This window comes from Homo sapiens, chromosome 20 (assembly GCF_000001405.40).
Source record: "Homo sapiens chromosome 20, GRCh38.p14 Primary Assembly".
Classification (NCBI taxonomy): domain Eukaryota; kingdom Metazoa; phylum Chordata; class Mammalia; order Primates; family Hominidae; genus Homo; species Homo sapiens.
This window is the reverse complement of record NC_000020.11, coordinates 64,054,477-64,072,816: the sequence shown is the minus strand read 5'-3', so window position 1 is coordinate 64,072,816 and position 18,340 is coordinate 64,054,477. Positions and strand designations below refer to the sequence as shown.

General features: G+C 60.9%; 1 protein-coding gene across 22 annotated transcripts, besides 9 other annotated features; it reads right to left on the bottom strand.

Moving 5' to 3' along the window:
* Window positions 1-469: 469 nt before the first annotated feature.
* On the bottom strand, window positions 470-17,221 carry TCEA2 (transcription elongation factor A2). Of its 22 annotated transcripts, none has more exons than XM_047440433.1 (13): window positions 15,940-16,019; window positions 13,930-15,845; window positions 13,104-13,204; window positions 12,682-12,900; window positions 10,314-10,387; window positions 6,279-6,341; window positions 5,797-5,902; window positions 4,683-4,770; window positions 3,326-3,456; window positions 2,996-3,052; window positions 2,403-2,557; window positions 2,182-2,328; window positions 470-947 (listed from the first exon to the last, which is right to left on the bottom strand). In XM_047440433.1, the coding sequence occupies exons 6-13, from the start codon at window positions 6,330-6,332 to the stop codon at window positions 792-794; spliced, it is 894 nt and encodes a 297-aa protein (XP_047296389.1). In that variant the 5' UTR covers window positions 6,333-6,341; window positions 10,314-10,387; window positions 12,682-12,900; window positions 13,104-13,204; window positions 13,930-15,845; window positions 15,940-16,019; the 3' UTR covers window positions 470-791. The 22 variants fall into 22 exon arrangements, with proteins under 22 accessions (XP_047296389.1, XP_024307744.1, XP_047296388.1 ...); XM_024451976.2 differs by having other exon boundaries at window positions 15,162-15,845; XM_047440432.1 differs by having other exon boundaries at window positions 13,104-15,845.
* Window positions 6,673-6,772: a silencer, noted in NCBI's record as "silent region_13206". NCBI's record gives its function as "represses an Ori minimal core promoter by ATAC-STARR-seq in GM12878 lymphoblastoid cells {active_cell/tissue: GM12878}" and the evidence as "EXISTENCE:reporter gene assay evidence [ECO:0000049][PMID:35858748]".
* Window positions 6,973-7,022: an enhancer, noted in NCBI's record as "active region_18264". NCBI's record gives its function as "activates an Ori minimal core promoter by ATAC-STARR-seq in GM12878 lymphoblastoid cells {active_cell/tissue: GM12878}" and the evidence as "EXISTENCE:reporter gene assay evidence [ECO:0000049][PMID:35858748]".
* Window positions 9,359-9,718: a silencer, noted in NCBI's record as "silent region_13205". NCBI's record gives its function as "represses an Ori minimal core promoter by ATAC-STARR-seq in GM12878 lymphoblastoid cells {active_cell/tissue: GM12878}" and the evidence as "EXISTENCE:reporter gene assay evidence [ECO:0000049][PMID:35858748]".
* Window positions 10,049-10,098: an enhancer, noted in NCBI's record as "active region_18263". NCBI's record gives its function as "activates an Ori minimal core promoter by ATAC-STARR-seq in GM12878 lymphoblastoid cells {active_cell/tissue: GM12878}" and the evidence as "EXISTENCE:reporter gene assay evidence [ECO:0000049][PMID:35858748]".
* Window positions 10,109-10,238: an enhancer, noted in NCBI's record as "active region_18262". NCBI's record gives its function as "activates an Ori minimal core promoter by ATAC-STARR-seq in GM12878 lymphoblastoid cells {active_cell/tissue: GM12878}" and the evidence as "EXISTENCE:reporter gene assay evidence [ECO:0000049][PMID:35858748]".
* Window positions 14,360-15,047: an enhancer, noted in NCBI's record as "H3K27ac-H3K4me1 hESC enhancer chr20:62689123-62689810 (GRCh37/hg19 assembly coordinates)". NCBI's record gives its function as "activates a minimal SCP1, AML or CMV promoter by ChIP-STARR-seq in naive and primed H9 embryonic stem cells {active_cell/tissue: H9 hESC(naive and primed)}" and the evidence as "EXISTENCE:reporter gene assay evidence [ECO:0000049][PMID:30033119]".
* Window positions 15,048-15,737: an enhancer, noted in NCBI's record as "H3K27ac-H3K4me1 hESC enhancer chr20:62688433-62689122 (GRCh37/hg19 assembly coordinates)". NCBI's record gives its function as "activates a minimal SCP1, AML or CMV promoter by ChIP-STARR-seq in naive H9 embryonic stem cells {active_cell/tissue: H9 hESC(naive)}" and the evidence as "EXISTENCE:reporter gene assay evidence [ECO:0000049][PMID:30033119]".
* Window positions 16,428-17,117: an enhancer, noted in NCBI's record as "H3K4me1 hESC enhancer chr20:62687053-62687742 (GRCh37/hg19 assembly coordinates)". NCBI's record gives its function as "activates a minimal SCP1, AML or CMV promoter by ChIP-STARR-seq in naive H9 embryonic stem cells {active_cell/tissue: H9 hESC(naive)}" and the evidence as "EXISTENCE:reporter gene assay evidence [ECO:0000049][PMID:30033119]".
* Window positions 17,118-17,807: an enhancer, noted in NCBI's record as "H3K4me1 hESC enhancer chr20:62686363-62687052 (GRCh37/hg19 assembly coordinates)". NCBI's record gives its function as "activates a minimal SCP1, AML or CMV promoter by ChIP-STARR-seq in naive H9 embryonic stem cells {active_cell/tissue: H9 hESC(naive)}" and the evidence as "EXISTENCE:reporter gene assay evidence [ECO:0000049][PMID:30033119]".

Below are 18,340 nucleotides of genomic sequence, written 5' to 3'. Positions count from 1 at the left end.
GGCAGGAGGGGCCACTTGGTGCCAGGCCCAATGTCATCTTTCTCATCTCACAGGCCCCATGAGTTGAGTGCTCACCAGCCCATCCCCTGCATTTCTGGGAAGTTAAGTGAGTTGAAGCTGAAATTGGCTCAGGGCCCTGAGACCACAACTCCCACAAGAACAGAGAAGGCAGCATGGGGACAAGCTGTCCTGAAGTGCCGAGAGGTCCCGAGCTGCCCATGCCTGAGGCGTTGGGGAGGACACTGCCCTGCACAGGACGCACACAAGACCCTCTCCCCACCTGCCCTCACAGGCAGAGCCGCCCCAGGTGATCTCTGAAGGTCAGCCAAGCTCCTCTCCTGGGGCTGACCCACCAGGGCCAAACCCAAGCACTGCCCAACCCCAGGGAGGGGCCTTGTCCACAGCAGTGGAAACGGGTCAAACATGGGGGACAGGGGCCCACCAGGAGTAACGGCTGAGGAGAACAAGATGGCAAAAAGAAACATTTAATAATGAGGGGGAAAGGGCAGAAAGGTGCAATCCAGGCAGGCAGGTTGAGGGCAGGACATGCCGCCTTCTAGGGTCTCCAGAGAAGCTGTGTCAACGGAGGACGTGGGCCGGGGAGGGCCCAAGGCTGCAGCACATCTACACGAGGGGTCAGCAGAACTGCGAGAAAGGGGGTGAGGCCTCCAGCCTTGTGGCCACATGAGATCCCCCAGAGTGGAAGGCCGCACAGGCTCACCCAAGGCTGGGCTCTCCACCCACCATGCCCAAGACTCCCAGGAGGCTGGTTGGGCAGGGCCATCCCCAGTTCACACCACAGACCCCACAGAGGCTGAGACACCCCACCTCCAGAGAATGGAGCTGGGAGGGGCAGCCTGAGCCTGCTCACCCACCTTCCAGCGGTTTCCACACTCGTTGCAGACAACAAAGGTGGTCATGGGCTCATCAGAGCTGCGGGTCTGCACCTGTGAACAGGGCTGGGTGAACCCAGGGTCACCTCCATGCTCCGCTGCAGACGGCATCCCCTCAACATGGGCAGTGCGGGCCTCGCAGCCACTGAGCTCCCACAGGTGACCTGATCCGAGGCCGCCTCGTGACTCCAACCTTCCAAAGCTGAGCCTCCGGGGGAGGGAGACAGAGTTTATCGGGGCAGAGGCCCTTGTGTGAGCCTGAAGCAGCTCACATTGGCTGGGGACCAGGAGGGCCCAGACTTGGCTGAGGGCAAGAGGGTCCCAATGGTGGGGGGAACTAGCAGGGGTCCCCAGTGCCCGCGGCTGCCTTCCGGAAGGCCCAAGGGTGAGCCTCCGGCCACAGGCAGAGCCTGTTCTGACCAGTGGCTGGGAGCAGGAGAGAGGCAGGCTCTGCACCGACCCAGGCCCCATGCAGCCTTCGAGGGGAAGGAAAGGCTGTCCTTGCAGCCCCTCACGAGTCCCATCTGCCAGGTGCAGCGGCCGCCTCGACACACTCCCCTCTTTTTTTTTTTTTTAAAGACGGAGTCTCGCTCTGTCGCCCAGGCTGGAGAGCAGTGGCACGATCTGGACTCACTGCAACCTCTGTCTCCCGGGTTCAAGTGATTCTCCTGCCTCAGCCTCCTGAGTAGCTGGGATTACAGGCATGCGCCACCACGCCCAGCTAATTTTTGTATTTTTAGTAGAGACGGGGTTTCACCATGTTGGTCAGGCTGGTCTCGAACTCCTGACCTCATTATCCGCCTGCCTCGGCCTCCCAAAGTGCTGGGATTACAGATGTGAGCCACTGCACCCAGCCGCACTCCCCTCTTAACAGGGTCCCTGCCATCTCATGGGATCCACAGTCTCCCCAGCACACTCAGTGTCCACCTCCATGGCAGGGACTGAGGGTCCTGCAGTCACTGCCAGGCAGCAGGCAGCACGGCCCTCCCACCAACATCAACACCTCGAGGGCCCTCCGTTCAGGCTGGGCTGGGCCAGGCCAGGCCCTCTGACTTGAGTATCCGCAACAAGTGGGTCCCACCACCCAAGACGCCGCCCCGTGGAGCCCAGAGGTCCTGGGTAGAGGGGAGTGGTCCCTGAAGGTGGCCATCATGCCTTAGCCTACTCAGGGACTGAGAGGCTCGGGAAATTCATGCAGCAGAGGCGGGAATAGGCATGGGCTCCAAGGAGGGGCACCAGATGCCCTGAAGACACCGGGCCCGGGGGAGGGTGCCCAGCGGCCGCTCACCTGTGTGTAGGTGCAGTTCTTTTTCCTGCACTTGCCGCAGGTGAACAGGTCTGTCTGCGTGCCGCCAGTGCGGGCCATCTGGTGCTCTCGGATGGCCTCCTTGGTCATGGCCTTACGGATCTCCTTCAGCTCATCACTGGCCATCTCCTGGAGCACGGGGCCAGTGGCTTAGCCCACCGCTCCGAGGGAGCAGCCCTCCAGCCCCTCCAACAGGGGCTCACCTCTGAGGTCATCACAGCGATCTGCTGGGGTGTTATGGCCCCACACAGCACATTCCGCCGCAGGTCAGGGTTCTTGGCATCCTTCAGGTTGGAGATACGACTCCGTACACGGTTCTTATACTTCATGTCTGTGTTTCCAACGTCCCGGAAGATGCGTGCAAGTGTTTTAAGGACCCACCTGAGGACAACGTCGCTGCCCTCCACCTACCACCTGCCCCGCTGGGGGCCATGTTGGGGTGGGGGCTGGAAAGGTTCTGCCCAGCCACACAGGGGTCGGTCTGCCCACCCACACCTGGTGGAGAGGTGAAGGGCTGCAGGGCCAAGCCTGCCCCAGGCCCATTCCTGACTGAGACCCAGCTTCAGGCTACAGCCCCAGGGGACCTAGGCCCCACAAGCAGACAGAATCAGCCCTTCAGCTGGTCCGGGGGCCCTCCTGAGGTGAGACAGCCTGACCACCCAGGCAGGTGACCACCCAGGCAGGTGACCCCTGGACAGCTGGGCAGTGGCATCCAGCAGCCACCAGAGGGCACCAGGCCAGGCAGCCTCCTGACTCCACCAGAAACCCAGGCCCACAGCCCCTACCCAAAGGATATATTCCTCGATCTGAGCCGACAGGCGCTCGCAGTCCGCACCGATGGCCACGTGGTCATCTGCAAGAGGGAGCCCTGACTAGCTTCCCCCACTGGTTTCTCCACCTGCCACCCCTTCTGCCTGCAAAACACCCTGGCAGCTTAGAGGGCACATCCGGGTCCCTGCAAGAGGCCCACGATCCAGGCACAGGCCCCTAGCCCCTGCCAGGGCCACAGCAATGGGCTGGGGGAGGACAGTCACCCCGCTGGAAGCAGGCCTCTGCGGGCAGGCAGGGGCCCGGGCCACCCTGTGAACCACAGCGGGTGTCAGGAGCCAGGGCCGGCCGCACTCACGGTCCGTCTGCAGGGCAGCGGTCAGCATCTCGCGGCACTTGTTGCGCACGGCATCACAGGTGACAGGCACCGGAGGAAATGTGGTGATCCTCGGAGTCGACGGTGCCCTGGGCAGCTCCGGCCTCTTGCGGCTGCAGAGAGCCAGGGCCAGCTGGGTTCAGACTCAAGGCTGCAGGCACCCCAGCGAGACACTGGTCCTAGAAGCAGCAGGTGCCACAGCATAATCCCCCACCAACCCCTGCTTGTTCTACTCTGCCAGAGTCCAACAGTGGCCTGTGGCCCTGCCTATCTTGAGTCCAGCCCAGATGTCCATGGGGTGTGCCCAGCAGCCAGGAGGGAGAGGGCCATGAGGTCCCCAGTGGGTCAGGGTGTACTCTCCAGGTGGGAACAGGATCCCAGACCCAGCAGTCAGCATCTGGGCAGCATTACCAGTCGATCAGAATGAACCTGGCAGTTCCTGCCACCTCTGGGGTGCCCACCCACTGGGCCGCAACACAAATACTCTGCTGAGGGCAGCTGCAGCTGCTGCCTGGTCAGGGAGAGGGAGAGACCCACAGCTGTCTGGGGGGAGACAAGGCGGGGCCGCCCAAGGCCAGGTTCTGCTGTCACAGACGACACCCCTGGGCACGTACAGAATGGGAGAAGGATGCCCCTCAGGGCTGGACCCCAACATGGGGCTGCCCAACGACCAGGCTGCATCCACCTAGCCCTCCCCTCATCCCCTCTGTGGAAGTTGGCAGAAGCAGGCAGCTTCCTGGAGGAAAATCAACTTGCAAAGGTGTCCCTGAGCTCCTGGTGGCCCAGTCACCACAACCCAGTGTGGTCAAGGGCAAAGCCATCTCTCGGCTATAGCCTGCCACAATAAGCACCCCCAGCTCCCAGCTGCAGGCCACAGAGCCCTTATCACCCCCTGGCAGCAGTGACCACACGTGCACATGCAGGGCAGGAGGGGAGTTGGCCCCCGCCTTTGGTTCTGGGCAGAATTTTGCAGGAAGGAGGGACCGTCGTTGAGTGAGGCTGAGGGGGAAGCCAGAGTGGGCCAGCAAGAACCAGACCCAGCAGGGGGCCTTGGGGGAAGAGGCCAGGGGGCTCCCACAGGCCCACTCAGGGTATACAGCAGCTCTTGGCAGAGGAAGAGGCCAGGATGGCTGGCTGACAGCCAGGTGGACACAGACCCACATCTCAAGTGGTCAGTGCAGGCGGGACACACCACAAGGCTGGTGTCCAGCATGAGGCTGACCGACTCTGTGTGCAGCCTCAAAGCAGTGCCTAGGCACATGGAGACTGGCACCCTTTCTCTGGCAAGGAAACAGGCTGGGAAGCAGAAGTGTGTGCACCTGCCTTCCAGGTGTGCTACCTGGGATCCGGGGCCTCTGAGGCATCCCTCGAGGACGTGGGCAGAGGCATGCCCCTCCCCCGCTCCCTGGCTTTGGCATCGGAAGCATCTGCAGGAAAGATCGGGGATGGGCTGATCAAGGGGAGGCAGAGGAGGGAGGGGCACAGACCACCACCAAGGTACAGCCTCAGCCCGACCACCAACACGGCCCCAGCCCCAGCCCCCGCCCCCAGCCCCTCACCCAGCCAGGGGAGCCAGGGGCCAGGAGGCTGCCCAGCCTCTGTGAACAGGTCCTCACCCTCCCCAGCAACCTGTCCATCTCTGCAGTCCTGAGGCTGCCTCCCCAGAACCCTTTCCCGTACAAGCACCCACTCACAAAGGCCACCTCTGGGGCCTCTCTGGGGCCCACCCTCCTGCCTGTCCTGGCCAGAGAGACCAAGCATGTCCCCAAGAAGGCTCTTCCTGAAAGCCCAGAGCCAGGCCCAAGGGCTGGGGACCAGGACATGCTTGTGCCATGCACAGCCTGAGGGCCACACAGGGCTGGAGAGAGACTGTTTCACAAGGGTGTGGACAGAGCTAGGAGGGTTGCCTCCATCCCAGACAGCAGCATCTTTGCAACCCCAGTCACCCCACTGTCTCCAGGAAGAGGCAGCCTTCAGTCCAGCCCAGCCCAGCCCAGCCCTTCCCTTCCCTGGCAGGGGGCTGCCCCTCTGTTCCCTCTGAGTAGCTGAGGTGGCCCTGCCTTCTCCCTCCCGCTTCCCCTCTCCCGGCACTTCCCAGCCTCCTGGCCATGACCTTCCCCTCTGTGTGACCTCCCAACTCACCCCAGTCTCTCAGTGCTGTCAGTTCAAGTCCTGGCCTCAACTCTCTTCTCTCCTTGTTCTACCTGGAACCCTGCCCCCAGCACACACCCTGGCCTCCTAGGCCACACCTCCCAGCCAATGCTGACAGGCACCCACTGATCCACTGCCAGCCCCAAGCTGGGCGCTTCATGGTCTGGGTTTGCCACTGCCCCACTCCCAAGCGACCTGGCTCAGGGTGGACACTGCCAGCACTCTACACTGTGCTGACCAGCAAGAGGCAGCACTTCTGGGACCCCTGCCCCAGCACTCAGTGGGCACCGCCTGAGCCGCACCCAGGAGCTTCTTCCAGGACTTGATGAGAGACTTGGCCAGTGCAATGACCTCCTCATCCGAGCTCTGCTTCCGAAGGGCGTTGACAGACATCCCGACTCGGGTGGACTACGAGGCAAGTGGTCTGGGTTGGGGGAGGCAGGGGCCCACCCTAGGGGTCAGATTCTCCTGGCAGAGCCTTGGTGGCCCCCACAGGACAGGAGCCCGGGACCTCCCAGGGAGGTAGAGGCCTCTCCCAATGGCGACTGTCCCATTTGGAACCCAGGAGCCTCAGCCACGGAGGACAAGATGGGTTATCCTCAGACTCCCCTCCCTGTCCCACTGAGCCCAGAGAAAGGCAGAGACCCTCTCCTCAGGAACAGGCATTTGTGCCAACTAAGGCCTGGTGGGGAGGGTGGGGAAGCCCTGCCAGGTGCCCTCAGAACTGCCATCCCCTGGGCTGCACCCAGGAGCTGTCCTGGACCTGGGGCAGGCAGGGACCTACCTGGAGCAGGTGCAGCGTGATAGGCATGGCCTTCAGCTCCCGCAGCAAATCCATGGCTCCCTCCTGGAAGGAGAAGGAGGACCTTCATAAAGGACTTTAGATCTCAACAGACAATATCACCTCCTTCTGCCTACTGGAGGAGAACACAAGGCAGTGACAATTTGGAGATTCAACCTGGGGTCAAAAAGAAACCAAAATTCCTCTACCTGGAGACACCCAGGGCTCTGCCCACATGTTCCTGCACCACAGCAGGGAACCCTTACTGCTCAGTCAAGAAGGGGAGGGGTTCTGCAGCCTCAAGCATTCCAAGTTGTAACCCACATCCGTGGCAATGACCTCACTGACTTCGTTGTAACCACCTCAGGTCACTGACCCAAACCAGAACAGAAATGCCAGCTCCCCTGGCCAATCATGAGGCTTCAGAGCCACGGCCCCTCCCCAGCAGCCAGGGCCACACCCAGGTGAAACTGCAGCCCCAGGTTCATTCACTCCCCTGTGTCTTGATGCCCTGATGCGCAGGGCAGCCTCTCCCCAAAGCACCCCCCGCCCACCAGCTGTGAAGGGCCAACCCAGGAACATCAGTGTCCCGAGCTGAGGCCAAACTCTCATGAAGGGCCAACCCGGGAACATCAGTGTCCCGAGCTGAGGCCAAACTTTCAAGGGTCCCTCCACTCCAGGCACGGCCACAGCCAACACCTACAAGGCCCACAGCCCCCCTCCTCATCTATCCTCCAGGCCTCTGAGTTGCCCCCAAGCAGGCCAGCACCCCTCGCCTGGACTGTTCCAATGCACCTCGTTCTCTCCGCCTTGTCTCCCCACCCAAGATCTGCGTTTCCTCCAGGTCCTCAACACTGACGAGGCCAGGCACAAACCGGTCACATTTCCACACCAGGCCCGGCAACTCAGTGCTCCCCAAGGGCGCTGAGCCGCCACCGAGGCCCTCTGCACCTGCAGCTCCACCGCCTGGGGCGGCCTCCCACAACGTCTCCCTCCCTCCCTCCCTCCCTCCCGGGCTTTATTTCAACAACACCTTCTCAGCAAGGCCTCTCCTGTTTAAAACTGCAACTGTGCCCTGCAACACCCCATCTCCTCTGTAACACGTGCATGTGTTTCCACGTGTGTATCATTCCCTCTGCCCTAAGGTGACCTGATCAGAGTCCCACGACCCACAGGCCATGGGAGGGGCTTGTCCCACCTACCGCCCGCACAACCCCAGCAATCCGGGTGGCATAGTCTGCTCACGCTGCAGCCCCTCCTGAGCCCTCCCAGGCAGGCCCTGCCTCTTGGGCTGTACAGAGTCCAGCCTTGAGGTGATAGCCAGAGCCAAGGCCACTGTCCCCTGAAAGCCCTGCACCTGCTTACGTGGCTCTCAGTGGGCTCAGGTCCAGAGGCAAAAAAACCCCCACACCTGGCCCCCAGGTCCCCGAGGGGACCTCAGGCACTGGGACCCCCAGGAGGCTCTGCTGGCTCCCACTCCCCACTGCACAGCGCCCGCCTCCCCTCCTCATTCTCCCCTGGGGCTTCTACTCAAGCTGTTCTTCCACCAGAAACCCCCCATCAGTTCTGCCCAGCCCCACCCAGCCCTCCCCTGGCTCCATGACCCATCTTTGCTTCTCCCACCTACAGCTTTTATCGTTTGTGTTTTGTCTCCTTTAAGAAGGGGAACAACTCCATTCTCGGGTCATCTCTGGAAACAGCTATGAATGGTTCGCAGACCCCTACTTTGTGCTGACCAGTTTTCCGGGGTGTGTGTGAACGCAATGATGGGGGTGCTGCACCCAGCAGGAATGAGTGGGAGCCCACCCCTTCCCAGGGCAGACCCCAGTCCAGAACGCTGGTCACAGGAACCCAGACTCAACCCTGCTCAGCCCAAAAAGCTTCCCCCAAACCCCCACTGCAGTCACACAGCCCTGGGGTGGCTGCACAAATCACCCAAAGCCCATGACTCAGCCACCTTCACCGCCCTGGGCTGGCCTGGCAGACACACAGCTGGCCCTGCCCCAGGAGTTCACAGTCTGGGTGGGAAAGCACAGGTCACGTTTATTGAGCCAGCCAGGAGCTCCAAATGACCTGCGGCCAGACCCCTCCCCACCCCCCAGGAGGCAGGCAGCATCCTCTAAAGATGCTTCTGTGGGAGGGTGCAGAGGTTGCCAAGGTCATGACGCTGGAACTGGACCCCCACTGACCTGGCCCCTTCAAAGTCCTCACACACAGCCTCCTCCAAAGTCTCGCTGTGGCCGCAAGACAACAGAGGCCCAGGCCGCAGTGAACAGAGCCGGCCAGAGGCTCCAGCGCCCAGACACTCCCAGAGGAGGCTTGCCCGACCTCCTGGCTCTTATATAAGCACACCGGCTCTTTTCGGAGGGTGTCCACATAACTACCCACAACCCAAGTTGCTGCGGGCTAAGTCCTGGCTAAAGAAGGGAGAGAATTTATTAGAGAAACCTGGTTCTTGTGGGGTGGGGACAGACAGGGAAGAAAATGGGCCCACAGGCAAGACAGGTATCTGGCTGGCCTGTGAAGGAGGATGACAAGGGCTGGGAAGAGGCAGGGGAGGCACGGAAGCTCCAGAAGAAAAGGGGATCCAACCTCAGACTCCAAACTGTTGCCGGCGACAAATGCTATGGGAGACGGAGGGTGACAAACGCTGTAAGAGACGGAGCGTGGGAGAGGGCTGAGTTGGGGGGCGGGGCTCGGCCTGTGAGGATGCCCAGGCCGGGATGGAGGAAGGCAAGGGGCTGGCGCGGCCCGCAGAGGAGGCCCGAACACCCCGGGGGCTCCGAGAGGCGGGACAGGGCCAAGGAAGGAGTCGACGGGCCAGGCTGGGGGTCTGGAGTTAAGGGACAGGGAAGGGTGCGGAGCCTGTGACTGCGGGCGAGGGAGGGGTCTGAGTCCAGAGCGGGTGGCTCTCCCGGGACAAGGTCCAGGCCTGATCGCGGCCTCTGCCGGGGTTGCGGGAGTGAACGGCAGGGCTGGCCCGGGGCAGGGGTCTCGGCCACGGGTGGGGGTCTCCCCTGCGTCCCGGTTAGTCTCTGCCGGGGAGGGGTCTCGTCCTGCCCCTCAGGTCGTCTTCCGGCCCTAACGGGGGTCGGCGGGCTCGACGGGGTCTCGGCGGGGCGGGGTTCCCGGGGTCCTGGCGGCCCGCGCCCCTCACCGCGCTCTTCTTGGTCACCATCTTGTCCAGCCTCCGGGCGATCCGCGCAATCTCCTCTTCCTTGCCCATCATCGCCTCAGGAGCAGCGACCCCCGCGCCCGTCGCGCCCGCCTCCGCAGCCGGGCAGGACCCCGGCCCCGGCCGTCGCCACCTCCCACACCCGCCGCAGCCGACGCAGCCCCGCCGCGGACGACAGACCCCCGGTTCAAACCCTCGGCCCCGCGGCCGCGCGCGGCATCCTAGGATGCGTAGTCCACGCGCCCGCCTGCCGCGCCCGCCGCGCCCGCGCTCTGGACCACAACTCCCAGGCGCCACGCGGCGCGCACAGCCTCCTGGGAAGTGTAGTCCTGACCCACCGTCGCCAGTGACTCGTGATCCCACAATACCCCGCGAGGGAGGCGCCCCGGGCACGCCCCTCCCAGAGCTCAGACATCCCGGAGCGACCGGGCCCCAGGAGGCCCAGGAATCTGCTCCCTTCTCTCCTCCTGCTTCGGGCCTTGCTGTCCCGCGGCGTCCTTCGGTGGGTGGCTCAGGACCCAGTGCCCTCAGCCCTTCTCTTGGGCCCCGCTGAGCCCTGCGCGCGCCCCACTTGGCCTAGAAGGCCGTCCCCAGCCTCCCAGAGCCCAGTTTGGGTCATTCGGGCTTCTGAGTAGAGTTACTTCTTCAAGAGGCCCGCGCACACTGGGAGGCCTCTTGTGGGGCCCTGCAGGTGTGAGCGCGCGGTAGCTGGACGTGGCGTCTGGAAGGGGCCATTGCTGGGGTTCGCGAAGTGCGGGGGCCTCTGCCGAGGCTGCGTGGGCAAGGCCCCTGCCTGCAAAGTCAGCTACCAGGGAGCAGATTCTGGGCTCTGCACGTTGACCACTGTGTCTCAGTCTCCCCACCTGTGAAACTGGAGTTAAGTGTCCGCCTCACAGGGCTCCCGTCAAGATGATGTCAGCTGATTCACATCACATGCCTGAGAACAGAGAGGGGATGGAGCATGACAATTAGTGTTCATTGACATTGTTGTTGGAGGTCCCTAGGTAGGGCCAGACTGCAGGCAGCCAGAGAGATGGCCCAGGCCTAGGGAGGGTTGAGGACGGGGACAGGTGCAGGGCCAGCATCCCCACCACTGCCTGGCAGCTCCCCAGTAATGCAGATGCTGGGTGGTTTCCTGGAGAGGGCACAATCCTGGGGGAGGGTGTGGATCAAGGAGCCTGTAGTCATTCAAGTTCAGGCCAACGAACTATGAGGCCAGGTGGCAGGTGGAATGGGCTGAGCATTTCTTGGGCTGTCTGTGGCACTAATCACATATAACTGAGCTTCCCCGCAGCCAAAATGAAAAGGAAAATATGGTCAGTTAAGAGACTCATCTTAGCCGGGCAATAGTGGCTCATGCCTGTAATCCCAGCGCTTTGGGAGGCCCAGGCGGGTGGATCACCTGAGGTCAGGAGTTCGAGACCAGCCTGGCCAATATGGTGAAACCCCGTCTCTACAAAGAATACAAAAACTAGCCAGGTGTGGTGCCGGGCACCTGTAATCTCAGCTACTTGGGAGGCTAAGGCAGGAGAATTGCTGGAACCCGGAAGGCGGAGGTTGCAGTGAGCCAAGATAGCACCATTGCACTCCAGCCCTGGCCAACAACAGCGAGACTCCGTCTCAAAAGAAAAAAAAAGAGAGAGAGAGACTCATCTTGGTTGGGCACAGTAGCTCACCCCTGTAATCCCACCACTTTGGGAGGCTGAGGTGGGCGGATTATCTGAGGTCAGGAGTTCCAGACCAGCCTGGCCAACATGGTGAAACCCTGTCTCTGCTAGAAATACAAAAATTAGACCGGGCATGGTGGCTCATGCCTGTAATCCCAGCACTTTGGGAGGCCAAGGCAGACGGATCACGAGGTCAGGAGATCGAGACCATACTGGCTAACACGGTGAAACCCCATCTCTACTAAAAATACAAAAAATTAGCCGGGCGTGGTGGCGGACGCCTGTAGTCCCAGCTACTCCGCAGGCTGAGGCAGAAGAATGGCATGAACCCAGGAGGCGGAGCTTGCAGTGAGCGGCGATCATGCCACTGCACTCCAGCCTGGGCAACAGAGCAAGACTCCATCTCAAAAACAAACAACAACAAAAAAAAAATTAGCCGGGCGTGGTGGCACATGCCTGTAATCCCAGCTACTTGTGAGGCTGAGGCAGGAGAATCACTTGAACCCAGGAGGCGGAGGTTGCAGTGAGCCCAGATTGTGCCACTGCACTCCAGCCTGGGTGACAGAGTGAGACTGTCTCCAAAAAAAAAAAAAAAAAAAAAAAGACTCAGGCTGGGCGCGGTGGCTCATGCTTGTAATCCTAGCACTTTGGGAGGTGGACTGCCTGAGCTCAGGAGTTTGAGACCAGCCTGGGCAACAGGGTGAAACCCCGTCTCTACTAAAATACAAAAAAACAAAAAAAAATTAGCCGGGCATGGCGGCATGCGCCTGTAGTCCCAACTACTCAGGAGGCTGAGGCAGGAGAATCGCTTGAATCCGGGAGGCGGAGCTGGCAGTGAGCCGAGATCATGCCACTGCACTCCAGCCTGGCAACAGAGTGAGACTCGTCGCAAAAAAAAAAAGCTCAATCATAGGGAAAAAGCATAGAATTCCTTGTGAGGAGCAAAGCCTTTCTAAGACAGAGGCCCCGCGATATTATATTATTATTATTATTAATAGATGAACACGGTTTCCATACTGACTGATTCTGCCCCTCACAGTGAGCTGGGGACATAGCTTCCAGCCTAGACCATCCAAGCAAGTCCTCGTGGTCAGAATCCCATGGTTTGGGCATATATGAAGACTTGAAGGGTCCAGCCTCATCAGAGGCACGAGGGGAGGCTAGAGCCACCCAGCCTTCAACCACTGTCTCAATGGCTGACAGCCAGACCAAGGAGCTGGTCAGGGTCCTGTAGAAGCCACACTGGAACTGCCCTTGTGCAGGAACCCCAGAAAGTTTGGCTTCGGAGGTCCGGGCGGCCAGGGTTTCAAAGCTGGTTCCCACCGTCCACAAAGACACTGGCCACATCCATGGAGCCTGCCTGGCCAGACACATAGGCTTCTCCAACGGCCGAGTGTGAGTTGATTTGAAGACCACCGAAAGGAAGCCAGCCCTCAAGCTGGGGGTGGGGGGGAGACCTCCAAGTATCAGGACTGCAGATCCTGAGATGCTGGTAAGGGCTGCAGCACAGAGAGGCCCCTCCTGGGCAGGAGGTGCAGCCCAGACAGCACAGAGGAGAACTAACCCCAGAGAGCTGCAAGTTCCTAAGAGTGGAGGTGCAAAGGAGAGAGGGTCAACGTCCCAGAAGCATCAAGGAGCTGCCAGAGGAGGCTGTGCAGTTGTGCATACGCCGCAGTCCCAGTTGAAGTGTTGGTGGGGCGGGGTCTGGGGTATCAGCACGGACCTCTGGAGCAAGTCACTATCAAGGAGCCAGCAGTGAGGCCGCTCCCCACCTGATTTCTCCCTGGGATGGACAAGCGCAAGGTTCTGGGGAAGGAGTGCACACAGACGCCCCCGGAAAACCAGACTAGAGACCCAGCCTTGACCCTCCCCAGGCCGGCCCAACCAGTGGAGGGACTTTGCATGAGGGATGCTTTTAAATATCTGGTTCATCTGAATGTTTTCAGCCACAAAGATCCCCTAGCACGGTAACTCTTAAAGCATTACCTAGGGAGCTGGGAGCTGGTCGAGAACAAAGACGACTGCCCCCTTGCACTCCCCGCCCCCACCAGGGGCTGGGGCCCTGGGGTCTCTGTCCTCTGTGATACCTGTGTGCAGATCAGAAGTACAGGCCACAGGCCAGCCAGGATGGATAAGGAACAAGGGGTGCCCAGAGGAAGGGAGAGGCACAAGAAGGGCTGGGAGTTTCTTTTCAGAGGTGCAGAGAGTGTCCCAGAGTTGGGAGGGAGAGGGATGTGGTCTGGAGTGTGTATTGAAGCCTCAACAACCTTACCAAGCTGCAGGGAGGGACAGAACCCACTGCAGGACAGGGCCTATAGAGACGATGGGGTGGGACAGAGACATACTGGGCCTGGGAGCTGGTGGGGGGCGGTCGGGCAAGATGGGAGGGAACAGTGCGAGGCGTCTCAACAATCCAGGGGGTCAGAGACCCAGAGACCAAACCCCTGACAGAAAATAAACTGGTGGGAAGAAACCATCATCTCCTTTTTTTTTTTTTTTTTTTTTTGAGACAGAGTTTCACTCTTGTTGCCCAGGCTGGAGTGCAGTGGCACGATCTTGGCTCACTGCAACCTCCGCATCCCAGGTTCAAGCAATTCTCTTGTCTCAGCCTCCCAAGTAGCTGGGATTACAGGCATGCGCCACCACACCCGGCTAATATGTTTGTATTTTTAGTAGAGACGAGGTTACATCATATTGGTGAGGCTAGTCTCAAACTCCTGACCTCAGGTGATCCACCCGCCTCGGCCTCCCAAAGTGCTGGGATTACAGGTGTGAGCCACCGTGCCCGGCCCATCATCTCCTTTATACCGACCTCTAGCAGAAAGGTGTCGTTCGTTCAGTTATGAACGAGGCCATGAACCAAATCTGGTCAGCTGGGCCCGTGGCTGACCCGGCACAGATGGGAACTGCCTCGCACCCCCACACTCGCTGCTGCTGGGACTGCAGAGGCTGTTCAGTGAGTCACATCTTGTTCAGCAGATTGGTAAAGAAGCACTTGGGTTTTGATATCACACTTTAAGAAAATATTTGCATAACTGTGTGTTGGTAGAACTGGCTGCCTTTATGACCCCGTGAATTCCACCTTGTGCTCTGTGTAGGAGGGGCCTCAACTAGGACTCCAGGAACTGGGACTCGGCCCTTGCTGAGCCTGAGTGGAGGTCCCACTCTGGGCCCTGTTTCCTCCTCCATGAGATGCCAGGTGGTCTTCTACGTCCTGGGGCCCTGGGCATGGCCACACAAGACAGAGCTCGTGAGGAGCCTGACATGTCTCAGTGGGTCCCAGTGGAGGCCCACAGAGGCTGCAGACGGGGAGGTCAAGATGCTGTGGCGTCTTAAGGACAACGGCTGGCAGGTCGGGGATCCCTCAGGAAGGGGTGTCAGCCGTGGGCCCAGCCTACGGGGCTGCATTAGGGCACGTGGGGAGCCTGGTCGGACAGGTGTGGATGGGGTCACTGGTGGCCTGGTTCATGGCAGGGGCAGGTGATGGAGAGAAAGGAGCGGACGGGACAGGCAGGGAAGGGGGTTAGCAGAAGAGGTCGGGTGCCTCTGACCTGCGGGCCGCAGCCACTCCGCTATGACAGGAGCCCCGAACCCTGACATGCTCTAGTCCTGCGTGGAAGCAACTACTGCAGGCGGAGAGGTGTAGGCCCATCCTGGTGATCAGGGAACCTGCAATCCGGTGGGATGGTCCCGCCCCCGGGCAGAGGCAGGTGACTGGCCCCAGAGCCTGTGAGGAACAGTGGCCTCTAGGTGGCAGGAGTGAGCCACGGACGGGTGGGCCTCACTTCACCACCACCCCACCCCCAAGCCCCAGGGAGGTCCAGGTGGTTCCCAGCAAGAGCCACAGCTGCCCCCCAGGACTGTGAAGTGGCCGAGGTGAGAAGGTGGCCAGTCCTAGAGAGTGGCCTCGTTTGTGAGGGCTGTGGCGGCGACCAACCCTGAAACTCCCCAGTGCCCCTGGTCCCGGGTCCCTCAGGAGCTCTGGACTTCTGGGACCTTGCTCAGAGCATTCTCGCCCCCCAGCAGACCCCTCCTGGAGCTTACCGACCTCCGGACTTCCTCCTCCACGGAGCTTCCCCAGCAAGCTGCTCAGGGCCGCCAGACGCTCCCGGGCCCTCAGAATTTGCACCCAGAGGCTGACAGCATCAGAACCATCGATTCTCCTGTGGGGCCTCGCCGCAGGGTGCTGCTCCAGCCCCTACTCCCGCCCTCGGCAGCTGAAGAACTTTCCCTCCCCTGTGCGCAGGCACACATGCACACGCACACACGCAGGCGGGAGCCTCGCACACACGGGGAGCCACTGCGGACTGGTTGGCGAGTGTCTGTCTCTCACCCGGCCCAGAGGCAAGGCCTGGATCCCTCAGCCGCGTTAGGGCTACGGTTAATGTTCGGTTTCGGTTAAACCCTGAGAACAGGCGGAAATGCACGTAGCCTGAAGGGTGGCTCACAGCGGAGGCAGTGCCCACGGAGGAGAGGGACGTTCACTCACCCGCTCCAGGCGCTGGTCCTGGGAGCCACAGCCACATGACGTGCAGGTGGAGGGGAGAGGCCTCCTGACTAGGAGCTGCCACAGGGTGAGGAGTGCCTCACTCCCCTTCACGGACCCAGCGGCCGCACGACACCAGGCTAGGTCTCTGTGGTCACCTGCAGCCAGCCTCACCGGGGGCCGAGCCCCAGCAAACAGGAGGGTTCCATCTCCTCCTCCAGGGTGTCCTCCACACTCGACGTCTTTATGGACAGGGACATATGGATAGGCCTTTAGGAATTCTCTGTGGGCAACGGGGCCCTGTCCTGAGGGCTCTAAGGGGGAGATGTGACCCACCTTGGAGGTCTGAGGGGGCAGCCCTGGCCCCAACAGGCGTCTGGGGAGAAACCCCTGGTCCACCCCACAGGGCCAGCCGCACCTTTGGCCCAAAGGCCTGCCCCTCCCCCATCCTGAGTCCAGGAAACGTCGGAAACTCAGGCCATTTATTTTTCTATTTGTGTCCCCTGCCCCCTGCCCGCCCAAAGCCGGCCATGACCCCAGTGGCCGCTATCCATGCTTCCCCTCTGGCTGAGGCAGCGCCGTGGTGGGAAGGCTCCCGCTGCCAAACTCACACGGAGCCCCCCTTGCTTCCTGCAACCACAGAGCGGGGGCTGGGGATCCTGCAGCCCCAGGAGCCCCCACCCCCTGCCACCCCATGGGCAGCCCTCCCACAGCCCAAGCACCTAGGAGCCGTCTCTGCGCCCCTTTCCATCAGACCCTCCAGCCCACCTTGGGGGCTCTGCCGAGCTGTGACCCCAGTGGACCCCACCCAGGCCTCCCTTGGATGCCCCCACCAGCAGGGCAGCGACGGGGCTTAGGTCCAGCAAGTGCTCCCCTGTCCCATGCGCCAGCAGAGGAGGGCAGGGGATGGGGACTGGGCCCACTGCTCCTGGCTATGCCACTGCAGCACCCGGCTCTCTGGACCTCAGTCGCCCAGTCTGTAGAATGGGAAGAGCCACCTGCCCAGGGCAGCGTCTCTCGGAAAGTCCCCAGCCCAGCCCATAGCCTTGGCCCAGTCCCAGCTCCCTCCCACAGAAGCAACGCTGGGGGAGGCAAGAGGCATCCCCAGAGGCCAGTGGCGGCCCTGGCGGCCTGCTCCAGGCTTGCTCTAACAATGCACTTCCCCCACACAATTCCCAGAAATGCAGCCCTGCCAGCCCGCCAGCCTGGCGGCCACTCCACCCTCCCCTTCCCCAGAGGCCCCAGGCAGCCGTGGGGTCGGGGCTATGGGTGAAGCCTAGAGACCTGACTCACAGGGCAGCAAAACCAGGGTTCCCTGAGGCGGCACCTCCCAGGGGCCCAGGCCTCCCAGAGAGAGACCAGGGAGACTCCTGGGGCAGCCAGATGGGGTCTGAGAGCAAACCTTGGCCAGGCTCCCGCCGCGGCAGAAGCAGAGCCCCCTGCCTTCTGGCAGGGGACTGCCCGTCCCTCCTGCCCCGCACAGCCCCGTCTTCACGTAGCAGCTGAGCTGAGGCAGATCACACTCCACTCAGAACCTCCCAAGGTCCCACCTCACTCAGAAAATGCAAGACCCTCCCAGAGCCAACTCAGCCCCTTGTTCCCTCTGAGCCTCATCCCCTCCTCTCTGCACCCCCTGCTCTGCTCACACCAGCAGACTTCCCTGCCCCAGGGCCTTGGCACATGCTCCTCCCTCTGTGAAAAGACTCCTCCCATGAACCCCCAAGGGCAAAAGCCACGTGTGGCCCTGACACAGCCCCTCCCTATACCTGATGAACCCCCAAGGGCAAAAGCCATGTGTGGCCCTGACACAGCCCCCCTCCCTACACCTGGCACCCCAAGTTCTGGCTTGTTTGTGGATTTGTTTTTGGTTAGGTTTGTTTTGTTTCGTTTTTGTTTTTTGAAACAGTCTTCCTCTGTCGCCCAGGCTGGAGTGCAGTGGTGCGATCTCGGCTCACTGCAACCTCCACCTCCCGGGCTCAAGCAATTCGTGTGCCTTAGCCTCCCTACTACCTGGGATTACAAGCATGTGCCACCACGCCCAGCTAATTTTTGTTTTTTGTTTTTGCTTTTGTCTGGAAACAGAGTCTCACTCTGTCACCCAGGCTGGAGTGCAGTGGTGCGATCTTGGCTCACTGCAACCTCTGCCTCCTGGGTTCAAGCGATTCTCATGCCTCAGCCTCCAGGGTAGCTAGGATTACAGACATGCGCCACCACGCCTGGCTAATTTTTGTATTTTTTTTTTTTTTTTTTAAGTAGAGGCAGGGGTTTCACTATATTGGCCAAGCTGGTCTCGAACTCCTGACCTCAGGTGATCCGCCCACCTTAGCCTCCCAAAGTGCTGGGATTACAGGCATGAGTCACCACACCTGTTTGTGGATTTGTTGATTGTCTGTCTCTTCTCACCATAATGGAAGCTTCCCACAGGCAGGGACCTGTCTGTTTTGTTCTCTGCCAAATTCCTAACCCCTAAAACAGGGTCTACTACACAACAGGTGCTCAATAACAAATGGATGGATAGATGTTGCCTGTCCCTGAGCAAGAAGGGGTGGATGAGCCCCCAGAACACAGGCCTGCCCCCTCCAGCCTATGTGGCAGCCCCAGCTGGCTGTCACCAATGCCAGGACAAGCAACAAAAAGAAACACACAGCTTCAGGCATCCGGCCCTGCAGTGCCCCTCCGTGGCTGGGAGACAGATGACCCCTGAGGATGTTCTCCCTCTCCCGACTTACCAGCCTGG

Bases quoted from the DNA above. Each gene is read 5' to 3' on its own strand.
- TCEA2 (XM_005260229.5), bottom strand. From the start codon at position 9,504: ATGATGGGCAAGGAAGAGGAGATTGCGCGGATCGCCCGGAGGCTGGAC. The intron at 5,903-6,278 runs GTAGGTCCCTGC...CTTGCCTCGTAG, and splicing joins TCACGCTGCACCTGCTCCAG to TCCACCCGAGTCGGGATGTC. The intron at 948-2,181 runs GTGAGCGGCCGC...CCCTGTTCACAG, and splicing joins AGAACTGCACCTACACACAG to GTGCAGACCCGCAGCTCTGA.